The sequence below is a fragment of the Homo sapiens genome, chromosome 8 (assembly GCF_000001405.40).
Source record: "Homo sapiens chromosome 8, GRCh38.p14 Primary Assembly".
NCBI classification, from domain to species: domain Eukaryota; kingdom Metazoa; phylum Chordata; class Mammalia; order Primates; family Hominidae; genus Homo; species Homo sapiens.
Window position 1 is genome coordinate 38110340 of NC_000008.11, and position 25614 is coordinate 38135953.

The 25614-nt window shown below is 41.9% G+C and overlaps 1 protein-coding gene and 1 pseudogene across 8 annotated transcripts in view, besides 2 other annotated features; both read left to right on the forward strand.

The window, feature by feature from the left end:
- The window catches only part of ASH2L (ASH2 like, histone lysine methyltransferase complex subunit), a 34588-nt gene that overhangs the window by 4847 nt on the left and 4127 nt on the right, over positions 1-25614 (forward strand). For 3 of the 8 annotated variants that reach the window (NM_001282272.1, NM_004674.5, NM_001105214.2), the window contains 11 exons: positions 40-128; positions 400-494; positions 3853-3948; positions 4566-4661; positions 6311-6386; positions 8931-9024; positions 10593-10810; positions 17952-18119; positions 18419-18612; positions 23115-23207; positions 25329-25427. In NM_001282272.1, coding sequence (NP_001269201.1) covers positions 56-128; positions 400-494; positions 3853-3948; positions 4566-4661; positions 6311-6386; positions 8931-9024; positions 10593-10810; positions 17952-18119; positions 18419-18612; positions 23115-23207; positions 25329-25427 — 1302 coding nt within the window. In that variant the 5' untranslated portion in view covers positions 40-55. Of the gene's footprint in view, positions 1-39; positions 129-399; positions 495-3852; positions 3949-4565; positions 4662-6310; positions 6387-7112; positions 7131-8930; positions 9025-10592; positions 10811-17951; positions 18120-18418; positions 18613-23114; positions 23208-25328; positions 25428-25614 lie in introns of all 8 variants that reach the window. The other 5 variants (XM_005273682.2, XM_005273683.2, XM_006716413.4 and 2 more) reach the window with 3 other exon arrangements.
- On the forward strand, positions 12035-12141 carry RNU6-988P (RNA, U6 small nuclear 988, pseudogene; annotated as a pseudogene).
- Positions 22876-23619: an enhancer, noted in NCBI's record as "NANOG-H3K27ac hESC enhancer chr8:37990733-37991476 (GRCh37/hg19 assembly coordinates)". NCBI's record gives its function as "activates a minimal SCP1, AML or CMV promoter by ChIP-STARR-seq in primed H9 embryonic stem cells {active_cell/tissue: H9 hESC(primed)}" and the evidence as "EXISTENCE:reporter gene assay evidence [ECO:0000049][PMID:30033119]".
- Positions 23620-24365: an enhancer, noted in NCBI's record as "NANOG-H3K27ac hESC enhancer chr8:37991477-37992222 (GRCh37/hg19 assembly coordinates)". NCBI's record gives its function as "activates a minimal SCP1, AML or CMV promoter by ChIP-STARR-seq in primed H9 embryonic stem cells {active_cell/tissue: H9 hESC(primed)}" and the evidence as "EXISTENCE:reporter gene assay evidence [ECO:0000049][PMID:30033119]".

The window sequence follows — 25614 nt, forward strand, 5'->3', positions numbered from 1 at the left end:
CACAAGTTCACTAATTCGTATAATTTGGCTCTTCGGCAGATCCTGTCTACCTTTCATGACCAACTACAGTTTTCATTGCAACGTCTGCCATCACAGTGGGAATACCTATTTCCTCCGGAAGCAAGCAAGTAAGAACAAACTCTGGAGTATTTGAAGATGATTATCCACTGGAAAAGAAAAGGGATCTGGGCGTAGCAGAATCAGGAGACCTTTGCCTAGTAGCTGGTATAAATTCAGTTGGGGTTTAGCTCTGAATAATTGCAATTGCCCATTTCAGGTCACATGATGACTCCATTTTGCTGCTATAATTGTTATTTTCTGGACCACTTATCGAGTATTCCCTTGGTAGTAGAGATGTAGTACTACAGATAACTGTTTCTTCCTTTTTGTTTTTGATAGACTTGAAGGAAATGTGCCTTAGTGCTTTGGCCAACCTGACATGGCAGTCCCGAACACAGGATGAACATCCGAAGACAATGTTCTCCAAAGATAAGGTAGAGGTGGAACTAATGTGATTGCAGTTATATTGAAGAGTTAGGTGGAACTTCTAAATATACTCCCTAACAAGTACTTTCTTCCCAGTTTTTATTGAATATATGACAGTGGATTCAGTGATTACCTTGTTCTCTTTTTTTTTCAAGATGGAATGCAGTGATGCGATCTCAGCTCAGTGCACCCTCTGCCTCCTGGGTCCCAGAGATTCTCCTGCCTCCGCTTCCCGAGTAGCTGGGATTACAGGCATGCGCCACCACGCCCAGCTAATTTTTTGTATTTTTAGTAGAGACAGGATTTCACCGTGTTGGCCAGGCTCATCTCCAACTGACCTCATGATCCACTGGCTTCGGCCTCCCAAAGTGCTGGGATTACAGGCGTGAGCCACCGCACCTGGACTGTTGTGTTTTTTTTGAGAGAGGGTCTCTGTCACCCAGGCTGGAGTGCAGTGGTGTGATCATGGCTCACTGCAGCCTTGACCTCCTGGGCTAAAGCAATTTGCCTTCCTCGGCCTCTCAAAGTGCTGGGATTACAGGTGTGAGCCACTGCACGTGGCCTCTTTTTAGTTTATTTTTTCCAAAATTATTTTGAAAAGTTTCAAGGTGGAATGTAGTGACACCATCACGGCTCACCGAAGACTTGACCTCCTGGGCTCAGGTGATCCTCCCACCTCAGCCTCTCAAGTAGCTGGGACTACAGGTGCACACCACCACACCCAGCTAGTTTTTATGGTTTTTTTAGAGACAGGGTTTCGCCACGTTGCCCAGGCAGGTAGAACTCCCGTACTCAAGTGATCCGTCCGCCTCAGCCTCCCAAGGTGTTGGGATTACAGGTGTGAGCCACTGCACCCGGCCCATTTCTTCTTAGATTTAACAGTTAACATTTTGCTACATTTGTTTTATGTCCCCATATATCTGTTTTTCCCTTAAGCTATATGAGGCTACATTGTGGGTACACTTTACCCAATATTCTGTTATACAACCACAGTGCCATAATCATAATAAAAAAATTTAACATTGGTGCAGTACTACTAATTTACAGTTCATATTTGTAGTTTCTCAGGATTATTTTTGTGTTAATAATATCCTCCTCTATAGCTTCTTTCTCCATCCAGGATCTGGTCAGGATCACCCATTACATTTAGTTGTAATGACTGTTTTGTCTCTAATCTATTAATAAAACAATTCCTTTATTCAGTTGGGTTTTGCTCTATTACCCAGCCTGGAGTGCAGTGGCACAGGCCCGGCTCACTGCAGCCTCAACCTCCTGTGTTCAAGCTATTCTCCCACCTCAGCCTCCCGAGTAGCTGGGATTCCAGGCGCATGCTACCACATCCAGCTAACTTAAAAAAATTTTTTGTGGAGATGTGGTCTCACTAGCTGGTTTCGACCTCCTGGGTTCAAGTGATCCTCCTGCTTTGGCCTTCCAAACGTCTGGGAATACAGGCATAAACCAACACACCCAGCCCCTTTATTTATTTATTTATTTATTTATTTATTTAATGAATTAAAATTTTTTAAGTGCTTAGGCAGTTGTTTGGCATGATATTCCTCAATTTGCATTTGACTTTCTTCATGATTATGTTCAGGTTAAACTTTTTTTTTTCCGCTTTAATAGGGACAGGTCTCACTATGTTGCCCAAGCTGATCTTACACTCCTAGGCTCAAGCAATCTACCAGCCTTGGCCTCCCAAGGTGCTGAGATTACAGTTGTGAGCCACTGTGCCTGGCCATGTGTTAAACATCTTTGGCAAGAATATTACATAAGTATTGTGTGTTTTTTAGACTGTCACATCAGGAGGTATATAAGATATTGCTTTGTTTTATTATTAGTGATCCTAAATTTGACTAGTTGGTTAAGGAGGGAGCATTTTTATCTTTGTGCTAAGTAATCCTTAAGCCATACATGGAGATTATGTGAGTACTTTATTTTCCTACTCCTTTCAACCAGTGATTTTTAGCCCCCATTGATTATCCAACCCTGAATCAGTTGTTAGAGTAGTAGTTGTAAATCAGAATACATTCTTTGGTTGCAAGTCTTCTGTAAATAACTTTCCCTCATTCTTTTTCTTCCCTTTTAAATATCACTGTGGATTATTTTTTAAAAATCAGTGTGTTATAGTCCATTGTTGGAATTTTTTTTTTTTTTTAATTGAGATGGAGTCTGGCTCTGTCACCCAGGCTAAAATGTAGTGGTGCGATGTCTCGGCTCACTGCAACTTCTGCCTCCTGGGTTCAAGCAATTATCCTGCCTCAGCCTCCTGAGTAGCTGGGACTACTGGCGCATGCCACCATGCCTGGCTGATTTTTGTATTTTTTGGTAGAGACAGGGTTTCACCATGTTGGCCAGGCTGGTCTCAAACTTCTGACCTCAAGTGATCCACCCACCTCAGCCTCCCAAAGTGCTGGGATTACAAGCGTGAGCCACCACGCCCAGCTCTTGTTGGATTTTTTCATTTCTGACCCTCAGGTTGTCCCAGATTCAACCATTGTAGCCCTATCAGACTGACTCCTGAAACTCTTTGATACTCCCCCATCCGTTTTTGAACTCTTCCTTACTTTCTGGAACAACAAAATATTCCAGGCTTTCTTTGTACTTTCCCTGGTTCCTTTCAGTAAAGATTTAGTTGTCATGGAGCTAACTCTGGTGGTGGTGCTTTTGAAGATTATCTAAATAGGAGGCCAGAAGATGAAGGTCAAAAGTCGTTTCAGTCATGCAAGCAGGAGTTGGTGAGAGCCACAGTCACAGCAGTGGGGATGGAAGGGAGTCCTGACTGAAGTGACATTTCTGAAATTTTAAAATTTATTTGGTGAGCATTTAGGTGTAAAAATTGTGAGAGAAGAGTCAAGGACAACTCTTAATGTGTCTAGCTTATTCTGGGTGATGACTGGTTCTAAGTTATCAGGAGCAAGAATAGAAATCCATAAAGCAGATTTATGAGGTAATATACCAAGTTCCATTTTAGTCACAAGAAGTTTGAGGTCCCTTTAGGATGTCCAGATAGAGATGTCTCAGCTGGTAGAAATAGGAGTTCAAGAGAGAATAATTTGGGAGTCATCTTCCAATTGACAGCCAAGGGACTGTGACAGAGCTTTTCTCTCCAATTGGAGTGTAAGCCCTACATGGCTAAGGTTTGTTTATACTTGTGGAAATCCCCATAATCTGTGTATTGTGTGTATGCAATGAAATATTCAGAGATTAAAAGACAAACATGTAAACCTTGTATAACACCGTGGGGGGAAAAACTAACATGGATTTTTCTCTTGATTCTAACAAGATCTTCGAAAAATGCTGTTTTCTTTCTTTGTCAGCATATCTTTGATTGCAGCAGTAATAGTCTTAATTTATTTTGAAAATTAGGATATTATACCATTTATTGATAAATACTGGGAGTGCATGACAACCAGACAGAGACCTGGGAAAATGACTTGGCCAAATAACATTGTTAAAACAATGGTAAGTAGATTAAAATTGATTAGACTTGACATTTAAAAAACCATTGTTTTTTGTAAGAATTCAATAATATCGTCTCATTGTGAAATGATAAAATTAGAACAACTTAATGTTAAATCTTTGAGTGTGAGATACAGCTAATTGTGAATTTTAGTAGTTTTCACACACAGAATCAGTGAGATGCATATTGTCTTATATGAACATTGCCCGCATACACCTGGTTTTATGTATTGAAACTTGTCCACAGTACTTTTCCAAGAATAATTTTGTATTGAAATTAGAGACCATTTCTTTTCTTCTATTAAAAAAAAAGTTATAGGCAATATTGTCCTTAAAATTAAAGAGAGCACCTGGGGAGAAGTCAACAGCAAGCTGTTAACAGTGCTTATCTTTGTGAAATAGAAGGATAGGTGAGGATTATGAAAAACTTGGGCACTCTTTGTGTTTCTCTGTTGTTTGAATTTTTTGATGGTCACTGATTATTTCTTAGAAGGAAAAACGATACTATCTTTTTTGGACACTGCACCTAGGAATTGACTTTTAGAGTTAGTGGTTGATTATTAATTCCATACTTTTAAGTATAAAATGTTCATTAATAGTAAAACACTACTTCTTTTTAGAGTAAAGAAAGAGATGTATTCTTGGTAAAGGAACACCCAGATCCAGGCAGTAAAGATCCAGAAGAAGATTACCCCAAATTTGGACTTTTGGATCAGGTACATTAATATGTTTTACATTTTCTTTTTGATTTTAAGCCACTCGGGGATAGGTAATCAGGTTCTGTTTACATTTGTATATTTGCCACATAACACACTGCCATTATATGCACATAGCATGGTGGACTCCAAAAAAATAGTGACTGATATGAGAGTACTCACCTTCAACCAAGAGACCAGTGTTGTATAGTGTTTTTGTTGTGGGTCTTCCCCAAAATGTTATGAATTTCTTCAAATCACTTTTTTTTTTAACTTTAGTTTCCTCGCTTGTAACATGTAAAAATGCTATTTCAAATTACTTCTAATCTTCCTGCCATCTTAAATTTTGCTCTTAAAAACTTTCTTTGTTGTGAAAAGAATTTGTTTTGAAGAATTTGTGTTGCATATCTAACATAACAGGCAAACGAAAATTGCTGTTTTTTGTTCAACAGCAGGGTTCACATTTGGCAAGTCAGAATGTCAAATCTTAAAGCTGTGTCTTTACATGTTTGATTTGCCAGCTTTGAAAATGCAAGATTCAGCCCGGTGCAGTGGCTCATGCCTGTAATCCTAGCACTTTTGGAGGCTGAGGCAGGAGGATTGCTTGAGTCCAGGCATTCAAGACCAGCCTGGACAATACAACAAGACCTGTCTCTCAAAAAAGAAAATGCAAGATTTCACATAGAAATTTAGATTTCTGTCTTGTAAAATGAAAACATCTGACTGCATGGGGCCTGAATTCCCACAGGAGCTGAGTGAATGGGGCTTAGGCACTCTGGTTTGCCCTGTGCCCTCTCCTGCCTCTACCCAAGTTGATTGATTAATTGCCATTTATCGCCATTCTGAAACTATTCTGATCCTTACACTTGGCCTACCTCACACATACTTGCAAGGTTGCTTGCTGGTCCTTAAAACACCCAAGTTTGGGACTCTGCAAGCTTCATTGTTTAGAATTGTCCATTTCAGACTGTGCATGGTGGCTCACGCCTGTAATCCCAGCACTTTGGGAGGCTGAGGCGGGCAGATCATTTGAGATCGGGAGTTGGAGACCAGCCTGGCCAACACAGCGAAACTCTATCTCTAGTGAAAATAGAAAAATTAGGCCAGGCATGGTGGCTCATGCCTGTAATCCCAGCACTTTGGGAGGCCAAGGTGGGTGGATCACCTGAGGTCAGGAGTTTTGAGACCAGCCTAGCCAACATGGTGAAACCCCATCTCTACTAAAAAATACAAAACTTTAGCTGGGTATGGCAGCAGGCACCTCTAATCCCAGCTACTCAGGAGGCTGAGGCAAGAGAATCACTTGAACCTGGTAGGCAGAGGTTGCAGTAAGCCGATATCGCGCCACTGCACTCCAGCCTGGGTGACAAGAGTGAAACTCTCTCAAAAAAAAAATAATAATAATTAGCCAGGCGTGTTGGTGTGTGCCTATAATCCCAGCTACTCGGGAGGGTAAACCAAGAGAATCGCTTGAACCTGGAAGGCAGAAGTTGCAGTAAGCCGAGATCGCGCCACTGTACTACAGACTGGGCAATAGAGTAAGGCCCCATCTCAGAAAAAAAAGAATTGTCAATTTTAGTTCCCATTCTGTTAGAATTTCTCTTGTTTTATGAGCATCCAGATTGACTGACTTACGTAGACTCCTTTTTTAATTGGATGTATTTTTGCAGGACCTTAGTAACATTGGTCCTGCTTATGACAACCAAAAACAGAGCAGTGCTGTGTCTACTAGTGGGAATTTAAATGGTAAGTGTTTACATATCTCATTGCTGAAATATTTGGAAGCTATTGAATCCAGTTGTGCCTAGAACTGGCCATTCTTTGGGTTGACCCTTAACCTGGATACTTACTAAAATGCTTTTATAGTTCAAACTCAATTTTTAGGAACTAGCCAAGGATTTGGCAGATGGTAATAGAGGAGAACTTTTTGTCACTTTACAACAGTTTGGTCTTGAGTGAGACAGGTTTAGCATAAGACAAGGAACCATTTCAAGGTCAGATTTGCTGTGTTTATATCTGTATCCTTATAACTAACATTAAATTTAGAAAGATTCATCTCCTCTCCACTCTTTTTCTGCAATTCAGCTGTTACTTTTAACAGATTTCCTGTGCCCATCTTCTAATTTTTCTTGCCCTGAAACTTCAGCTCATTCACATGATAGCATTTCTATATTAACCACCCATTGCAGCTTGTTCTTCTGTTAACCCATCTAATAGCGGGAAAACCCCTCGTTACTAATGGTTATTTAATAAGAGTTGGGGTGGCTGAGAGATATTTAGCTGTTCATCTGATATATGGGATCATTAACCTGTCTTTTGGAGTGGTCGCGTCTTAAATATCTGATCATTTCTACTGTTACTAATATTTTAAGGTGGGTTGGAAATAGCTAGTGTGTTATCTTTTTACAACATATTTTCCCGTTTTAATTGTTAAAATTTGACAAATACATGGTGCCACTTCTGTTCTTACAGGTGGAGCCACTTTTGGAGGTGAATTCCTCCACTGTCTTCTTTCAGCCTCTCAGACTTAAGTATTTTGTGGTTTGGAAAATGCTTTTTGCTGAGCTATGGTAGAAGCTAAAAACTACATAATTTGAAGCATTATGAAAATGGCGGCAATAGCACTTAATATGAAACAGTAGTTGAGTTTAATGTTAGTATTTAAGAGCTTGTATGTTGTCATATTCTGCCTAACATGGCCAGCCACCCCACTTCTGTACTGTTTGCTCTGTTCTGGTTGGATCTGAAACTTCTTAAAATAATCAAAATGCAAATGACAATTAAAAATGTAATTGTGGCCACGCGAGGTGGCTCATGCATGTAATCCCAGCACTTTGGGAGGCCGAGACAGGCAGATCACCTGAGGCCAGGAGTTTGAGACCAGCCTGGCCACCATGGCAAAGCCCCATCTCTACTAAAAATACAAAAAATTAGCCAAGTGTGGTGGCAGGCGCCTGTAATCCCAGCTACTCAGGAGGCTGAGGCAGGAGAATCGTTTGAACCCAGGAGGCAGAGGTTGCAGTGAGCCGAGATCGTGCCACTGCACTCCAGCTTGGGCAACAGAGCAAGACTCTGTCTCAAAAAAACAAAAATTTAATTGTTTTTTGATTATGGTTACTTAAACTAGAGATGATGACATTGCAGCAGTTTAACATTAAACTTTTATGAAAAATAGGAATAACATCTGAGGTGTTCACCAAAGGAAATTCTGCATAAAAAGTCTGGTCCTGTATATGCAGAATATGAGCCACCTTCAATGTCTTGATCCTTTTTATTGCAGCAGAACTGCTAGTAATTCCCAAGCTTGCCCCAAATTAAGATTTAGTACTCTGCAGTTGTTTACGTAAAGGTGTTTTCCTGCAGTTCAGGGACATTTCCTGGAAGAGGGAAAAATAAAACTAATTGAGAGGAATTTGAACTGGACAAAAATTTCAAAGTACCTATTTCAGAAATACACAAGGTAATCTTCCTTGTGGCTTTAGTATGTAGCTAAATTTTTTGTATAAAATATGTAAATTGTCTATTCCTATTTATTGCTTTTAGTTCCACAAGCCAGGTTAATCTAACCTGAATTTTAGTGCATTGGCACAATCTTAATAAATGTTGTATTTGACGAATGGGTATGGAACTAAAAATTGCCTAGCAAATCGAAAGCCTTCTTTCTTATTTGTGTCATGTGCAACCACGATGGAGATCTAGCAGTACTGGAGAGAAACACCTTTTTAGTACTTCTGTTTCCGTTTTCCATGTTGGATGTATTTTGTCTTGTTGGATATTCAGGTTCAATGCTTTAGCAGATACTGTGCTTTTATGATGTTTATGGACTGTATTGTGTAGTTCAAGCAAGTGAACATCGACTTACAGTGAGGATATTCTCTCTTTATGGGTGTTTGTATTAATTTGGATGAAAAAAAATGTGCCCATACAGTTGTTTTCATTCTTTTTAGCTGTGGGTGTTTGGGATCTGAATGAGTGAGAATGCATTTGTGTCACACCCTGAGAAAGTATACCAATAGTTGCAGTTTATTAGGAACAAAGGTTGAAAACTGTAACCCAACCATCATAGTGCTGGATTCATTTGAGTTTATTGCCAGAACCCAGTGTTCCCAGGCTATGAGATGCTCAGTAGATTCTTTGAAAACTAGGGTGAAATCCAATATGCCTTTGGAAGGAAATCCTCCTGTGGTGTTACACAAATGCACATTGGGTGTGTTGGTCCCTATGGAATTTCAGTATCCACATGGTGTTTCCCTTGTGGCTCATTGAAAGCAATCTGCCTTCTCTTCAAAGGGGGAATTGCAGCAGGAAGCAGCGGAAAAGGACGAGGAGCCAAGCGCAAACAGCAGGATGGAGGGACCACAGGGACCACCAAGAAGGCCCGGAGGTGGGGAGAGTGCCCACCCTGCCCCCCTCACTATTTAAGTATTATTTGGTGCTGGGAAAGTCCAGCAGAGGGAAGAGAGTTCAAGGGTCGGAGGTTAAAAAGCCTGTCCATTTTTTCTAAACCTTGAGCACTTTGAGGGACAAAATAACCCCAGGTTGGAGGCCAGGCGCAGTGGCTCATGCGTGTAATCCCAGCACTTTGGGAGGTCAAGGAGGGTGGATCACTTGAGGCCAGGAGTTTGAGACCAGCCTGGCCAACATGGCGAAACCCCATCTCCACTAAAAATACAAAATTAGGCAGGTGTAGTGGTGAGCGCCTGTAATCCCAGCTACTTGGGAGGCTGAGGCAGGAGAATCGCTTGAACCTGGGAGGCGGGTGGCAGTGAGCCAAGATCATGCCACTGCACTCCATCCTGGGCAACAGAATGAGACTCCGTCTCAAAAACAAAACAAAAAACAAAAATAATAACCCCAGGCCGGGCACGGTGGGTCATGCCTGTAATCCCAGCACTTTGGGAGGCTGAGACAGGTGAATCACCTGAGGTCAGGAGTTTGAGACCATCCTGGACAATGTGGTGAAACCCCATCTCTACTGAAACAAAAAACAAAAAAATTAGCTGGGCCTGGGGGCACGTGCCTATAATCCCAGCTACTCGGGAGGCTGAGGTGGGAGAATTGCTTGAACCCAGGAGGCAGAGGTTGTAGTGAGCTGAGATCGCGCTATCGCACTCCAGCCTGGGCCACGAGAACGAAACTGTCTCAAAAAAACAAAACAAACCCAAGTTTAAGTGTCATGTTTTACATTTAAGTGTACATACATTTGTTAGTACAAAATTTATAGTAGTAACAAGTATAGTGTCTTCTGGTGATAAGCCTGGGGAACCTAGGGAGTGAAGTTCTGTTAAGGCGACTTGAGAAAGGATAGGTGGGGAGGGAGTGAAACCAGTGTTGAATGTTAGCTCCTTTAGCTCCTTAACTTTCTGCTTCTCCCTTCTCATGCCTTTTCCCTTCCCTTTGTCTAAAGCTGAGGTGATGAAATCCAGGTTGCTTATTTATTTATATATTTTTGTGAGATGGAGTTTTGCTCTATCACCCAGGCTGGAGTGCAGTGATGGAATCTCGGCTCACTGCACAAGTTATTTACTTAGATTAGCAAGATAGCAAGTGCTTATGTCTCTGAGCTTCTGTTCATTACTTTATAATAATCAGTATACTAAAGACTATCACCCTAATCACCCCCATTCCTCTCCTCCCTTCCCCCCCCCCCCCCCCCCGCATAATGTACCAGCTCAGTTTCATAGACATCAATTCATGTTTAAAGACCACTGGGAAGATATCCACAATCTACAAGTAATTTCACCAAAACTACCTTGCTCAATAAAGCTAATCCTTTTCACTTCCTTGTTTTGCCTGAAGAGGGCAGAGTTACTTATTTGAGTAATGAGAAGTATTTGCTGTGAAGTTGCATGTATTCTAGCTGAAATAAACCAGAGGCCTTTCTTACACAGTTGAATGCATTTGAGCTAAAGGGGGTTTTAGTTTTTTGATGTTATTTTTTCCTTTCTGCAGTGACCCTTTGTTTTCTGCTCAGCGCCTTCCCCCTCATGGCTACCCATTGGAACACCCGTTTAACAAAGATGGCTATCGGTATATTCTAGCTGAGCCTGATCCGCACGCCCCTGACCCCGAGAAGCTGGAACTTGACTGCTGGGCAGGAAAACCTATTCCTGGAGACCTCTACAGAGCCTGCTTGTATGAACGGGTTTTGTTAGCCCTACATGATCGAGGTATGTAAAGTATTGGAGATCATATGGATGCAGGGTTACTTTGAACTGCCATCATTAGCCTTGTCAGTCTAGAATTAGGTGTACATCTCAGTCTGTTGCCACTGCCTCACCCCCATCTCTGTCTAGATTCATCCAGAATGTGCAAGAAATTCTGTTCCTTCCTATAAGCTCCAGCCGTTTTATTTATATATATATATATATATATATATATATATATATATATATATATGGTTTTTTAAAACTTTCTATTTTGAACTAATTTTAAACTTGCAGTAAAGTTGCCAAAAATAAGTTTTCTTTCTCATCAAGCTTTTCCTAATGATAATATCTTAGAAAACCATAGTACAGTTATCAAAACTGGGAAATTAACATTGGTAAATATTATCAACACAACTAGAGAAAGACCTTTCAATTTTACCAGTTTTTCCACTCACACTTAATTATTTCTCTTTAGTCTATTATAGTCTTTAACAGTTCCAAAGCCATTGCTTATCTTTCATGACCATGATATTTTTAAGTGTTTTAATCAGTTATTTTGTTGAATATTCCTCAGTGAAGATTTGTCTGATGTTTTCTCATGATTAGACTGAAGTTAGGCAGTTTGGGGAAGAATAACACGGAAACAATGTCTTATAGCATCATCTCATGGGATTCATGATGTCAGTAGGTCTTATTGGTTACGTTGACCATGATCATTTGGTTAAGGTGATTCTGCTAGCTTTCTCCACTGTAAAAAACTACCGTCTTTCCCTTATACTTAACAAATGTCTTAGGCAAAAATACATCGAGTCTATCTATGCAAATATCTTGTTTGTTTTTAAACTTATGTTCACTAATTTTAGCACCCATCAGTGGATATTGTCTGCAACAATTATGACTGTGTTGTATGATGATTTTCGATTTCCTCTTTCCCTTTTCTGTTAATTGATTATTTATATCAGTATGGACTCATATATATTTACTTTATTTCAGGGAGTATAATCCAATACTTTGATTATTTTGTTGTTTAAATTATTCCAGCTTTGGCAAGTAGGAGCTTCTTCAAGAAGTTGGTTCTTGTGTTCTTTCGATAAGCCGTGTCTTTTTTTAAAAAAAAAATTTCTTTACTTTGAGGCATCAAAAGGTGTTCCTGGCCAATCTTATATTTTCTGTGCCCCAGGCCTACTTCTTTCACCGAGCCCTGGTTCCTTTGATTGGAGCATGTTGTTTAGGAATAACATCTAGGTGCTCACTTCCATATATCACATATACGAAAATTAGAATGATAAAGAGAAGATGCATGGCCCCTGTGCAAGAATAACACACAAATTTGTGAAGCGTTCCTTATTTTTTTTTTAAGTAATAAAGTAAATAAACAAATAGCAATTAATATCTAGGTGTTAGGTGTGCTGTTACTAGGCGTCATTGCTTCTAGACTTCCTCAGTGGTCAGAGGTAGGAAGTGCATGTGTGTATGTACAAACCTGCATGTACACAGATAACAATTTATATTGATACCTGGGTTGACAGCCTTCCTCCTTTCCTTATTTGTAAGGTCTTTCTCCAACAGTGGGAAATGTGAATAATTAGATAATTATCTACAATATATTTACTTTATTTCAATATATTTATTTTGTTATAGAGATCAGAGTCTCACTCAGGCTGGTATGCAGTGATGCAGTCCTGGCTCACTGCAGCCTCAACCTCCTGGGCTCAAACGATCCTCCTGCCTCAGCCTACTGAGTAGCTGGGATCACAGGCACACGCCACCACACCTAGCTGGGTTTTTTAATTTTAATTTTTTAGAGGTGGGGTCTTACTATGTTGCCTAGGCTGGTCTCAAACTCCTGGGCTCAAGCCGTCATCCTGCCTCAGCCTCCCAGGGTCTTGGGAGTGAGCCACCATTCTTGACCTTGCTCATATTTAATATGCACATAAAGTAGTTTCAGAATTTCTTTTTTTTTTTTTTTTTTTTGAGTTGGAGTCTTGCCCTGTCACCCAGGCTGGAGTGCAGTGGCGCAATCTCGGCTCACTGCAACCTCTGCCTCCCGGGTTCAAGTGATTCTTCTGCCTCAGCCTCCTGAGTAGCTGGAATTACAGGCACGTGCCACCACGCCCGGCTAATTTTTTGTATCTTTAGTAGAGACGGGGTTTCACCGTGTTAGCCAGGCTGGTCTTGAACTCTGGACCTTGTGATCTGCCCGCCTCAGCCTCCCAAAGTGCTGGGATTACAGGCATGAGCCACTGAACCCAGCCAGTTTCAGAATTTCTAATCCCTGGGAGAAACATTTACTAAGTAGATTATAGCATTTATATATAGCTCTTTTTGTCTTTAGACTTGCCGTACTCAGTCCAAGGTACTGGTAACTTAGATTAGTTCTTTTCTTCCCCACTTCCTTTAGTGGGTCATGTCCAGTTAAGTCAGGTTTATTTGCTAGTGTTTGATGCCATTTTGGATTCTCCCACATGTTGATTGTTTGTGTGTATGTATGTTTGGAGTGAGGATGTGTGAAACATTACTATGGTTCTGGGAGTCAGAGCTGTACAGAACGGTTTACAAAATGTCACTCCCTCATCACCCCTACAGTGCCCTTCTCACTCTCTTTTTTCCACCATCTTCCCACTCACACTCTAGTTTCTAGTTTATCCTTGCTGTATTTCTTCACAAATGAGCAGATACAGTACATGTATATATTCTTTTATCTCCCTTTTTTGTTTGTCTGTTTCTGTGTTTTTTTGGTTTGATTTGTTTTTTGAGGCTAGAAGGCAGTGGCGTGATCTCGGCTCACTGCAGCCTTCACCTCCCTGGCTCAAGCAATTCTCATGCTGAAGCCTCCCGAATAGCTGGGACTACAGGTGTGTGCCACCACCCGTGGCTAATTTTTGTATTTCTAGTAGAGATGGGGTTTCGTCATGTTGGCCGGGCTGGTCTCAAACTCCTGAGCTCAGGTGATCTGCCCATCTCAGCCTCCCAAAGTGCTGGGATAACACGTGTGAGCCACTGCGCCCAGCCTTATCTCCTTTTTTATACATGAATAGCAGCGTGCTATATATATAGTCTTTGCTCCATGCAATTATTTTATTTTATTTTTTTTTTTAGAAAGGTTCTTGTTCTGTCACCCAGGCTGGAGTGCAATGGTGCAATCTCAGCTCACTGCAGCTTCGACTTCCTGGCTCAAGCAATCTTCCCATCTTAGCCTCCCAGGTAGCTGGGACTACAGGCACACATCACTGCACCCAGCTAAATTTTAATTATTTTTTTAGGGACAAAGTCTCCTTCACTGTGTTGCCCAGGATGGTCTTGAACTCCTGACCTCAGGTGATCCTACTTCCTTGGCCTCCCAAAGTGCTGGGATTATAGGCATGGGCCATTGCATCTGGCCTCATTGTTTATTTGTTTGTTTTCAAGATGGGGTCTCACTCTGCCACCCAGGCTGGAGTGCAGTGGTGTAATCATGGCTCACTGCAGCCTCAACCTTTCCTGTTAAAATCAGCCTGCAAAGCCTCGAAATTCTCTCCCACCTTTTGCCATTTTTTCTTTCTGTGGAAGTCATGGGGTTCTCCCCTGATTATTTAGATTGCTCCCTTATCTCACATAATGGCCTGGTAATAAAGTAAGATTCAAACCATATGCAGAGGTAGAGAGATGAATTACAGTGAATACCTGTCTTAGTCCCTTTGTGTTGCTACTAAGGAGGACTTGAGGCTGGGTAATTTGTAAAGAAAAGAGGTTTATTTGGCTAAAAGAAGCATGGCACCAGCGCTTGCTTCTGGTGAGGATCCCAGGCATGTCCAGTCATGGTAGAAGGCAAAGCGGAGCAGGCGTTAGATGGCAAGAGAGGAAGCAAGACAGGGAGGGAGGTGCCAGGCTCTTTTTAACAACCAGCTCCTCAGAAACTAATAGAGTGAAAACTCACTCACATCCCCACATTCCGCATTAATCTGCTCTTGAGGTATCTGCCCTCCTGACCCAAACACCTCCCATCAGACCACACCTCCAACATTGTGATCAAATTTCAACCTGCACTTAGGGTCAAATACCCAAACTATAGCGATACCTTGTACACTTTTCACCCAGATTTTAACAGTTCAAGATTTTGCCATGTTTGCTTTATCTGTTTATTTCTTTTTCTTTTTCTGAATTAAAAAAATATATATATCACCCTATGTACACTAAAAACTATGCATCTCTTTAAAAATGCGGCTATTGGGGCCAGGCACAGTGGCTCACGCCTGTAATCCCAGCACTTTGGGAGGCTGAGGCGGGTGGATCACCTGAGGTCGAGAGTTCAAGACCAGCCTGACCATCATGAAGAAACCCCTTCTCTGCTAAAAATACAAAATTGCGGGCCTGGTGGTAATCCCAGCTACTCGGGAGGCTAAGACAGGAGAATCTCTTCAACCTGGGAGGCGGAGGTTGCAGTGAGCCGAGATCGCGCCATTGCACTCCAGCCTGGGCGACAAGAGTGAAACTCCATCTCAAAAAAAAAAAAAAATGCAGATATTTTCTTTTATAACCAAAATAATTCCTTGCTATCATCCAAATTCAGTTCATAATCAGATTTCCTTGATTGTCTTAAATACCGGTTCATCTCCTGAGATATTTATTAATTACAAAAGGAAAATTGTCATTTAGCAGTGGAGAAACCTGGCAGGCATCATCTTAATCAAGTGACCAGGGTGAACATCACTATTTTGATAGCATATATGATGCACTGAGGGGCACAACATTACCTCATTGGAGTTCCTGAGTAAGAATAACAATAACCTTGACCTTAAAATGAGGAAACGCCAGGCCGGGCATGGTGGCTCACACCTGTAATCCCAGCACTTTGGGAGGCCAAAGTGGGTAGATAACCGGAGGTCAGGAGTTTGATACCAGCCTGGTCAACATGGTGAAACCCCATCCCTACAGAAATAGAAAAATTAGCCAGGCATGATGGCAGGCACCTGTAATCCCAGCCACTTGGGAGGCTGAGGTGGGAGAATCGCTTGAACCCGGGAGCCAGAGGTTGCAGTGAGCCGAGGTTGCACCATCACACTCCAGCCTGGATGACAGAGCAAGACTCTATCTCCAAAAAAAAAAAACAAAAGAAAACACCAGACAAATGTAACTGAGGGACATTCTACAAACTGAAATGACCAATATTCTTCAAAGTGTCAAGCTTATGAAAGGTTGAGGAACTGTTTGAGATTGGAAGAGGCTAAGGAGACATGACAACTAAGTGAAATGTGGAATCTAGGATTAGAACCTGGGCCAGAGAAGGGGATATTACTTGGATAATTGGCTTAATTTTAAGAAGGTCCATGGATTATTTAATAGTATTATTGTTAATTTTCTGGTTTTGATGATTATGTTAATGATTATACATGATGTGAACATTTGGGAAAACTGAGTGAAGCACACACTAGGACTCTACTATTTTTTGAAAGTTTGAAATTGTTGGCCGGGCGCGGTGGCTCACGCCTGTAATCCCAGCACTTTGGGAGGCCGAGGCAGGCGGATCACGAGGTCAGGAGATCAAGACCATCCTGGCTAACACGGTGAAACCCTGTCTCTACTGAAAATATAAAAAATTAGCCGGGCGTGGTGGCGGGCACCTGTAATCCCAGCTACTTGGGAGGCTGAGGCAGGAGAATGGCGTGAACCCGGGAGGCGGAGCTTGCAGTGAGCAGAGATCGCGCCACTGCACTCCAGCCTGGGCAAAAGAGCGAGACTCTGTCTCAAAAAAGAAAGAAAGTTTGAAATTGTTTTAAAACAGTTAAGGCCAGGTGCTGTGGCTCATTCCTGTAATCCCAGAACTTTGGGAGGCCAAGGAGAGCAGATTGCTTGAGTTCAGGATTTGAGACCAGCCTGGGCAACTTGTTCAAACCCTGTCTCTTCAAACAATTAGCTGGATGTGGTAGCACTTGTAGTACCAACTACTTGGGGGCTGAGGCAGGAGGATTGTTTGAGCCCAGGAAATCAAGGCTGTAGTGAGTCAAGATGACACCACTGCATTCCAGCCTGAGCAACAGCATGAGACCTTATCTCAAGGAAAAAAAAAAAAAACTAGTCAAGAGGCTAGCCACAGTGGCTCATACCTGTAATCCTGGCACTTGGGCCAACACAAGAAGATCGCCTGAGGCCACGAGTTCAAGGCTATGGTGAGCTGTGGTTGTGCGACTGAGTAAGAGAGCAAGACCCTGGCTCTTAAAAAAAAAAAAAAAAAGTTAAATTTTTTAAATGAAGATTTATTCAAATTAAGTTCCAAACTCATCACCATTGGTTTGTTATATTTGAGGGAATATGCAATATAATTAATATCAATCAGATGTCTTAAAGTTAATCACATGTAGGCTGGGCTCAGTGACTCAGCCTGTAATTCCAGCACTTTGGGAGGTCAGTGCAGGTGGATCACCTGAGGTCAGGAATTCGAGACCAGCCTGACCAATATGGTGAAACCCGTCTGTACTAAAAATACGAAAATTAGCTGGGCGTGGTGGTGGGCGCCTGTAATCCCAGCTACTCAGGCTGAGGCAGGAGGATTGCTTGAACTTGGGAGGCGGAGGTTGCAGTGAGCCAAGATCGTGCCACTGTACTCCAGCCTGGGCTACAGAACAAGACTCTGTCTCAAAAAAAAAAAAAAAAAAAGATAAGCCAGGTGCGGTGGCTCATGCCTGTAATTCCAACACTTTGGGAGACCAAGGCGGGCAGATCACGAGGTCAGGAGTTCGAGACCAGCCTGACCAACATGGTGAAACCCTGTCTCTACTAAAAATACAAAAATGAGCTGGGCGTGGTGGCACGCGCCTGTAATCCCAGCTACTCGGGAGGCTGAGGCAGGAAAATTGCTTGAACCCGGGAGGTGGAGGTTGCAGTGAGCCGAGATTGCACCACTGCCCTCCAGCCTGGGCGACAGAGCGGGACTCCATCTCAAAAAAAAAAAGATAATCACATGTAATAAAAACTAAGTAACCTAACAACTTTCTCTTTTTTGTTGCTTTCTCATTCCTTGCCAGTATCTTATGCTGAGATTTTTAAACTCCTCAACTAATATTTCAAACACCTGACCTGATATTTGTGATTTTTAAATTGTTTTATTGGACTAATGTTTTTGTGGCAATTGTCCCCAAGAACCTCAAATAAGTTGCAGGCCTTCTTTTAATCTCTGTCACCGCAGCTCCCCAGTTAAAGATCTCAGATGACCGGCTGACTGTGGTTGGAGAGAAGGGCTACTCTATGGTGAGGGCCTCTCATGGAGTACGGAAAGGTGCCTGGTATTTTGAAATCACTGTGGATGAGATGCCACCAGATACCGCTGCCAGACTGGGTTGGTCCCAGCCCCTAGGTAAGCTGGGGCCTTAATATGGACATCACAGCAGATAGAGAGGATAGACCATCTGGCCAAGGGCTAAGGCTTCAAGGCTGTTGGGTTTACCAGATTGTGGGCATAGAATTCAGTTCCTGAGGGTTGAGCTGGTTTGCTATTCCCGGGATATTTTTGTAATTCTTTGCTTGTGAGAAAGTTTTTAAGCAATTTTACAAAATTGACCAAAAAACATAAAAAGAAATAGGATCTTTTTCCTTCAGCAAACTAGATTTGACTTGCAATCTTCTGACTTCCTGTGTATGTTTTTATTGGGACAGGAAACCTTCAAGCTCCTTTAGGTTATGATAAATTTAGCTATTCTTGGCGGAGCAAAAAGGGAACCAAGTTCCACCAGTCCATTGGCAAACACTACTCTTCTGGCTATGGACAGGGAGACGTCCTGGGATTTTATATTAATCTTCCTGAAGACACAGAGACAGCCAAGTCATTGCCAGACACATACAAAGATAAGGTGAGTTTGTCCTCTCCCGGCAGATTCCTGGCTTTGAAGGCCTGTGGCAGCCAGTGCTTATCACTGGCTTGTGTGATCTCTTAGGAACTGAGCCACAGCTCACGTTTTTTCCTAACCTGTTGCTATGACATTTTCAGAATAACAGTAACAATCGGTGCACAAATAGTCATCCATTCATTCTTCTACCCATCTATCATTTGTCTTTTTTTAGTGCACTACAGAGAAAATGACAGACATCAGGACACTTTCCCACTAAGTACTTCAGGATACATAAGCTAGAATTCAGCCTGTTTAATTCATTCTTTTGATACAAAATGTATATAAAATGAAGTACACAAATTTTAAGTGTACATTCACTGAGTTTTGAGTTTGACCTAAACTGTTGAAATGTAGGATCCACTAGGCATGATGGTTCACGCCTATAATCCCAACAATTTGGGAAGCCAAGCTGGGAGGACTGCTTGAGCCCACGAGTTCAAGACCAGCCTGGGTAACATCACGAGACCCCATCTGTACAAAAGACTAAAAAAGTGCCGATAGTCCCAGCTACTTGAAAAGCTGAGATGGGAGAATCATTCAGCCCAGGAGTTCAAGGTTACTGTGAGCTGTGATCACACCACTGCACTCCCCCCAAAAAAGAGATGTGGACACTTACCATCACCTCAGGAAGTTTCCTCATGCCTTTTCACAGTTAGTCCTCACCCCCACATAGAGGCAACCACTGTTTTAACTTTCTTTCCCACCATACTTTAATTTGTACCTCTTCTTGAACTTAAATGGGCTCATGCAGTCTGTAGTCTTTTATATCTGGCTTTTGAGACTCATCCATTTTGCTGCATATATCTGTGCACCCTTTTCAGTGCAGGGTAGTACTCCATTGCATGAATGTGCCCCAGTGTGTTTATGCATTTTCCTACTGACAGACACTTGGGCCGTCTCAGGTTTGGGGCTACTATGAGCAAGATGCTATGAATATTCTTGTACAGTCTTTTTGGATCATTGGATAGTTACATATTTAGCTTTATAAGAAATTTTCCAAACTCTTTTCCTACCATATATGAGGGTTTTAGTTGCTGACATTTATGATTGTCTGTCAACTTAATTTTAGCCATTTTTGATGGGTGTGTAGTAGTATCTCATTGTGAGTTAAATTAGCATTTCTTTGATGACATACTGGGCATTTTTCATGTGCTTTTCGGCCACTCATATGTTTTTTGTGAAGTTTCTCTTCAAATATTTTGCCTGTTAATATTGCTATTCTGAGACTTCTCTGTTCTTTTTTTTTTTTTTTTTTTAAGTTTAAATTTTTTTGGTAGAAACAGGTTTGGTATTTTTTGTTTTTTTTTTTTTTTCCATGTTGCCCAGGCTGGTCTTGAACTACTGGGCTCAAGCAGTTCACCTGCTTCAGCCTCCCAAAGTGCTAGGATTACAGGCATGAGTCACTGCACTTAATAGTGTCTTCTGAGGAACCAAAGTTTTAGTTTTTATGAAGTCTGATTTATCAAATTTTTCTTTTATACTTATTTCTTTCCATGAATTTAAAAAAAAATCTTTGGCTACTCCCTGTCATGAAGATATTCTCCCATGTTTTCCTTTGAAAACATCATGGTGTTAGCTTTTACACATAGGTGTCTGATTTACCTTGGATTAATTTTTTTTTTTCTTTAGATGGAGTCTCGCTCTGTTGCCCAGGCTGGAGTGCAATGGTGCAATCTTGGCTCACTGCAACCTCCGTCTCATGGGTTCAAGCTGTTCTCCAGCCTTAGCCTCCCGATTAGCTGGGATTACAGGCACCCGCCACCACACCCAGCTAATTTTTGTATTTTTAGTGGAGACAGGGTTTCACCATGTTGGTCAGGCTGGTCTTGAACTCCCGCCTCGGCCTCCCAAAGTGCTGGGATTACAGGCATGAGCCACTGTGCCCGACCAGATTTTTATGTATAGTATGGAAATTCATTTTTTTTCCATATGATTACACAATTATCCCAGCACCATATGTTAACTCTTTCCTTTCTCCACTGGATTTCTTTGATGCCTTTATTGAAAATCAGATGTTTGTGTTAAGGAAAGGTTTACTTCAGAGCTCTGTATTTCAGTGATCTGTTTCTTGTCCTTTATGCATGTATCACAGTGTCTTGGTTATCATAGCTTTAGAGTAAGTCTTTAAATTTGATAGTGGAAATACTCTGAGTTTATTCTGATAATAAGCAGCCTACAGTCTCATTTTTATTGATTATATCACACTAGTGACTTATTGTACCATCCTGCCTCCCGGAACTCTTTAAATGTATACCACACTGATGCCTGGTTTTACAGAACACAGAGGTCTGCACTTAAAAGGATTCTGTAGGTGTTTTTTCAATGATTCATTTACATTACAAAAAAAATTTTTTTTCCTTTAATTAAAAAAAAAAACAAATTTTTTGACCAGACACTGTGGCTCCATGCTTGGGAGGCCAAAGCAGGCAAATCACTTGAGGCCAGGAGCTCGAGGCCAGCCTGGGCAACATGGCGAAACCCTGTCTCTACAAAAAAAATACAAAAATTAGTTGGATGTGATGGCACACTCCTGTAATCTGAGTTACTCAAGAGGTTGAGGCATGAGAATCGCTTGAGCCTGGAGGGCAGAGGTTGCAGTGAGCCAAGATCATGCCAGTGAACTCCAGACTGGGCGACAGAGAGCAAGACTGTCTCAAAAATAAATAAATAAATAAATAATTTTTAGTGACATGTCCACACGACAGAATACTATGGATCTATTCAAAAGCCGCATATATACTGATTATAAAATGGTCTCTAATGTAGTTGCCAAGTTAAAAACTCAAGATGCAAGACAAAACTTATAATATGTTACCATTTGTATGGCTTTTTGGGCTTTTTTTTTTTTTGTATGTTTATCTGGTGTTTTATTTTGAAACAGAGTCTCATTCTGTCGCCCAGGCTGGAGTGCAGTGGTACGCAGTCTCGGCATACTGCAGCCTCTGCCTCCCAGGTTCAAGCAATTCTCCTGCTTCAGCCTCCTGAGCAGCCAGGATTACAGGCGTGCACCACCACGCCCAGCTAATTTTTATATTTTTAGTAGAGACGGGGTTGCGCCATGTTGGCCAGGCTGATCTCAAATTCCTGGCCTCGTGATCTGCCTGCCTCAGCCTCCCAAAATGCTGGGATTACAAGCGTGAGCCACTGCGCTCGGCCACATGTGTGTGTTTTAATTTTGAAGACAATATATGCCTAGATTCTCTGGAAGGATACCAGGACACTGGAACAGTGATTACTTTTGGCAGGGGAAACTGGGTATAAGGGACATAGAAAGAGAGACTCTCGTTTTATATGCTTGTATATCTTGGGAATTCTTCTTTTCTAACCATGTTTAATACATATATATGTTAAGAAATTGAAATTTTTTAAATTAATGTCATATATTTCTCTGGAAGTGAATAGTTAAATAGACTCTTAAGAACCAGTAAGAAAGAGGTGACCCAGAGACCACCTGTGGGAACAGATGGGAAACTAGGACGGGGAAGAAGGTGACCTTCAAAATATTTTCATAGAATAAGGGATTGTAGGCTTGGTGCAGTGGCTCGTGCCTGTAATCCCAGCACTTTGGGAGGCTGAGGCGGGTGGATCACCTGAGGTCAGGAGTTCGAGACCAGCCTGGCCAACATGGCGAAACCCCGTCTTTACTAAAAATACAAAAAGTAACCGGGTGTGGTGGCACATGCCTGTAATCCCAGCTGCCTGGGAGGCTGAGACAGGAGAATCGCTTGAACCTGGCAGGCCAAGATTGCAGTGAGCCAAGATCACACCACTGCATTCCAGCCTGGGTGACAGAGTGAGACTGTCTCAAAAAAAAAAAAAGAATAGGCTGGGCGCAGTGGCTCATGCCTGTGATCCCAGCACTTTGGGAGGCCAAGGCGGGTGGATCACCTGAGGTCAGGAGTTTGAGACCAGCCTGGCCAACATAGTGAAACCCTGTCTCTACTAAAAATACAAAAAATTAGCCGGGTGTGGTGTAATCCCAGCTACTCGAGAGCCTGAGGCAGGAGAATCGCTTGAACCCGGGAGGCGGAGGTTGCAGTGAGAAGAGATCACACCATTGCACTCCAGCCTGGGCAACAAGAGTGAAACTCCGTCTCAAAAAAAAAAAAAGAATAAGAGATTGTAGACTCAATAAACGTCATTTTTTTCAGTGAGATTATTGGAAAAGATGTGTGAATTTAGCCACTTTTATGGGTATTTTTATTGTGGTAAGCATGTATGTATTATGTATTTTCTCACGTTTCTTACTAAAGGCCTACTGAAAATGTTTTAATAAACATGTGCCATCTGGTATTTTTTAAGAAGTGTGTAATAGTTCAAAATCTAGCAAAACTCAACTGCAAAGATTTTTAATATCTGTTGTAGAGCTCAAGGGGTTAACACTATTTGTGTGCGGATGCGTTTTTTTCATGATGATGGAGCTGATGCTTTATTGTGCCTTTTTTTCTTTCTTGGTTTTCAAGGCTTTGATAAAATTCAAGAGTTATTTGTATTTTGAGGAAAAAGACTTTGTGGATAAAGCAGAGAAGAGCCTGAAGCAGACTCCCCATAGTGAGGTGAGTCATGGCCATAAGAACATTAGAATCATAAGGCCTTGAGCGTTAGGACCCATTCCTTCATTATAAAAGTGAGGAACACGAGGCCCAAAGGGGAATGAAGGGGCATCTGGTAGCCCCACTGGCCAGCGGCAAGCTCACCCTCTGCTTATTGTGTTTTGCTCTTTATGTAGTACCATGCTTCTGCTGTTAGAGACATGATCCTGTTCTTTCAGGATAACTCTGTAGAGAAAAGTGTATAAAAATAGTGGCCTGCACCACCCCATCTGGGAGGTGTACCCAACAGCTCATTGAGAACGGGCCATGATGACGATGGCGGTTTTGTGGAATAGAAAAGGGGGAAAGGTGGGGAAAAGATAGAGAAATCAGATTGTTGCTGTGTCTGTGTGGAAAGAGGTAGACATGGGAGACTTCATTTTGTTCTGTACTAAGAAAAATTCTTCTGCCTTGGGATGCTGTTGATCTATGACCTTACCCCCAACCCTGTGCTCTCTGAAACATGTGCTGTGTCCACTCAGGGTTAAATGGATTAAGGGTGGTGCAAGATGTGCTTTGTTAAACAGATGCTTGAAGGCAGCATGCTCGTTAAGAGTCATCACCACTCCCTAATCTCAAGTACCCAGGGACACAAACACTGCGGAAGGCCGCAGGGTCCTCTGCCTAGGAAAACCAGAGACCTTTGTTCACTTGTTTGTATGCTGACCTTCCCTCCACTGTTGTCCTGTGACCCTGCCAAATCCCCCTCTGTGAGAAACACCCAAGAATGATCAATGAAAAAAAAAAAAAAATAGTGGCCTGTTGGGAAATCTACAAGAGACTGAGGAAGCAAGTCCAGTGTCTTTATTCTTTATCAGAGGAGGTATCAAGTCCAAAGGGAGGGAACCTGGAGTGGGAGAGTAGACCTTGTGGTGTGGCCCAGGGGCACTAGGAGCTGTAACGTCTCACTCAGTGTCCTTCAGAACTTTCTCTGCCTCCACTTCCGGGGTTGCTGGAAACATGTCTGCCCAAGGTCATAGCACAGTCAGAGAAAGGCTGGCACATCTGGGCCAGCCACAAGCACCAAAAATAAAAAGGGAAGTGGGATGTAGAGGAAGAAAGTTAAGCTGGAAACATTTTTTTCATAAAAATGCTAATGCTGTGAGGCCACCCAGGACACTAATAGAAGGAGATGGAGGTGAAATAAAGAAACGAGTTTCAGCTGTTTTTAGGAAAGAAATACTAAAGAGAAATAATTATTAGATCTAAAGATGCAATAACCAGAAAGCCCCCTCTTGTGGGAAGAGAAGGCAGCCTTTTCTGAAGAATTGAAGTGGTCAAGAGAGGATATTCAGTGTAATTCTGGGAGAGAAAGGAGGAACATGAGGATTCAGAGATGTGACATAAGAGTCTTAGAGAACTTCAAAGTGAAAAAGCAGAAGTGAGAACTGACTCGGGGAAAGGAATTGATAAACAAGCACGCTTAAACAGGTGTGGTCCCAAGGAGTCCATGGAAGGCCAGCTTACTTTAAAAAAAAAAAAAAATTTTGTAGAGATGAGGTCTCACTATGTTGCCCAAGCTAGTCTTCAACTCCTGGCCTCAAGTAATCCTCTCTCCTCGGCCTCCCAGCTTACTTTTATAAATACAGTGCAATGAATAATAAAATATAGAAATGTTTGGTATATGTAGCACAGGAATTCAGAAAACAAAGCCCCGGACTTTGAGACCAGTCTGGGCAATACAGTGAGATCTGTCTCTATAAAAAAATTTTAAAAATTAGCTGGATATGGTGGTGTATGCCTGTAGTCCCAGCTGCTTGGGAGGCTGATGTGGGAGGATCACTTGAGCCAAGGAGGTTGAGGCTGCAGTGAGCCAAGATCACACCACTGCACTCCAGCCTGAGTCACAGAGTGAGACCCTGTCTCAAAAAAGAAAAAAAAGCCTGAATAGTGCATATTAACATGCTTTGAAAAATCGAAAGTATTATAAAAATTGAAGATGTTGTTATTACACAAGTTATGCACTGTTCTTGGGTGAGTGACTAGCAGTCTGGCAGCAGCACTTCTAACATATTTTCCTAGAGAGTTCTTTTTTTGTTTGTTCTTTTTTACAGTTCTGAAGTAAAACCATGGTTTTTGTTTCAGATAATATTTTATAAAAATGGTGTCAATCAAGGTGTGGCTTACAAAGATATTTTTGAGGGGGTTTACTTCCCAGCCATCTCACTGTACAAGAGCTGCACGGTACGTACATGTTTCCATCCCATGAGCAAAACTTGAGGGAAGCAGATGAATGGGTTGTGATGACAAAGTTACTGAGTGCTGGAACGAAATCCAAGCAGCCTCAGAGTGGCATGCGCATGTGTTGTTACCATTACTGTTTAGTCCAGAAACAGTTTGGGCATCTTAGGGAGTATTTGCTGGATAGAAA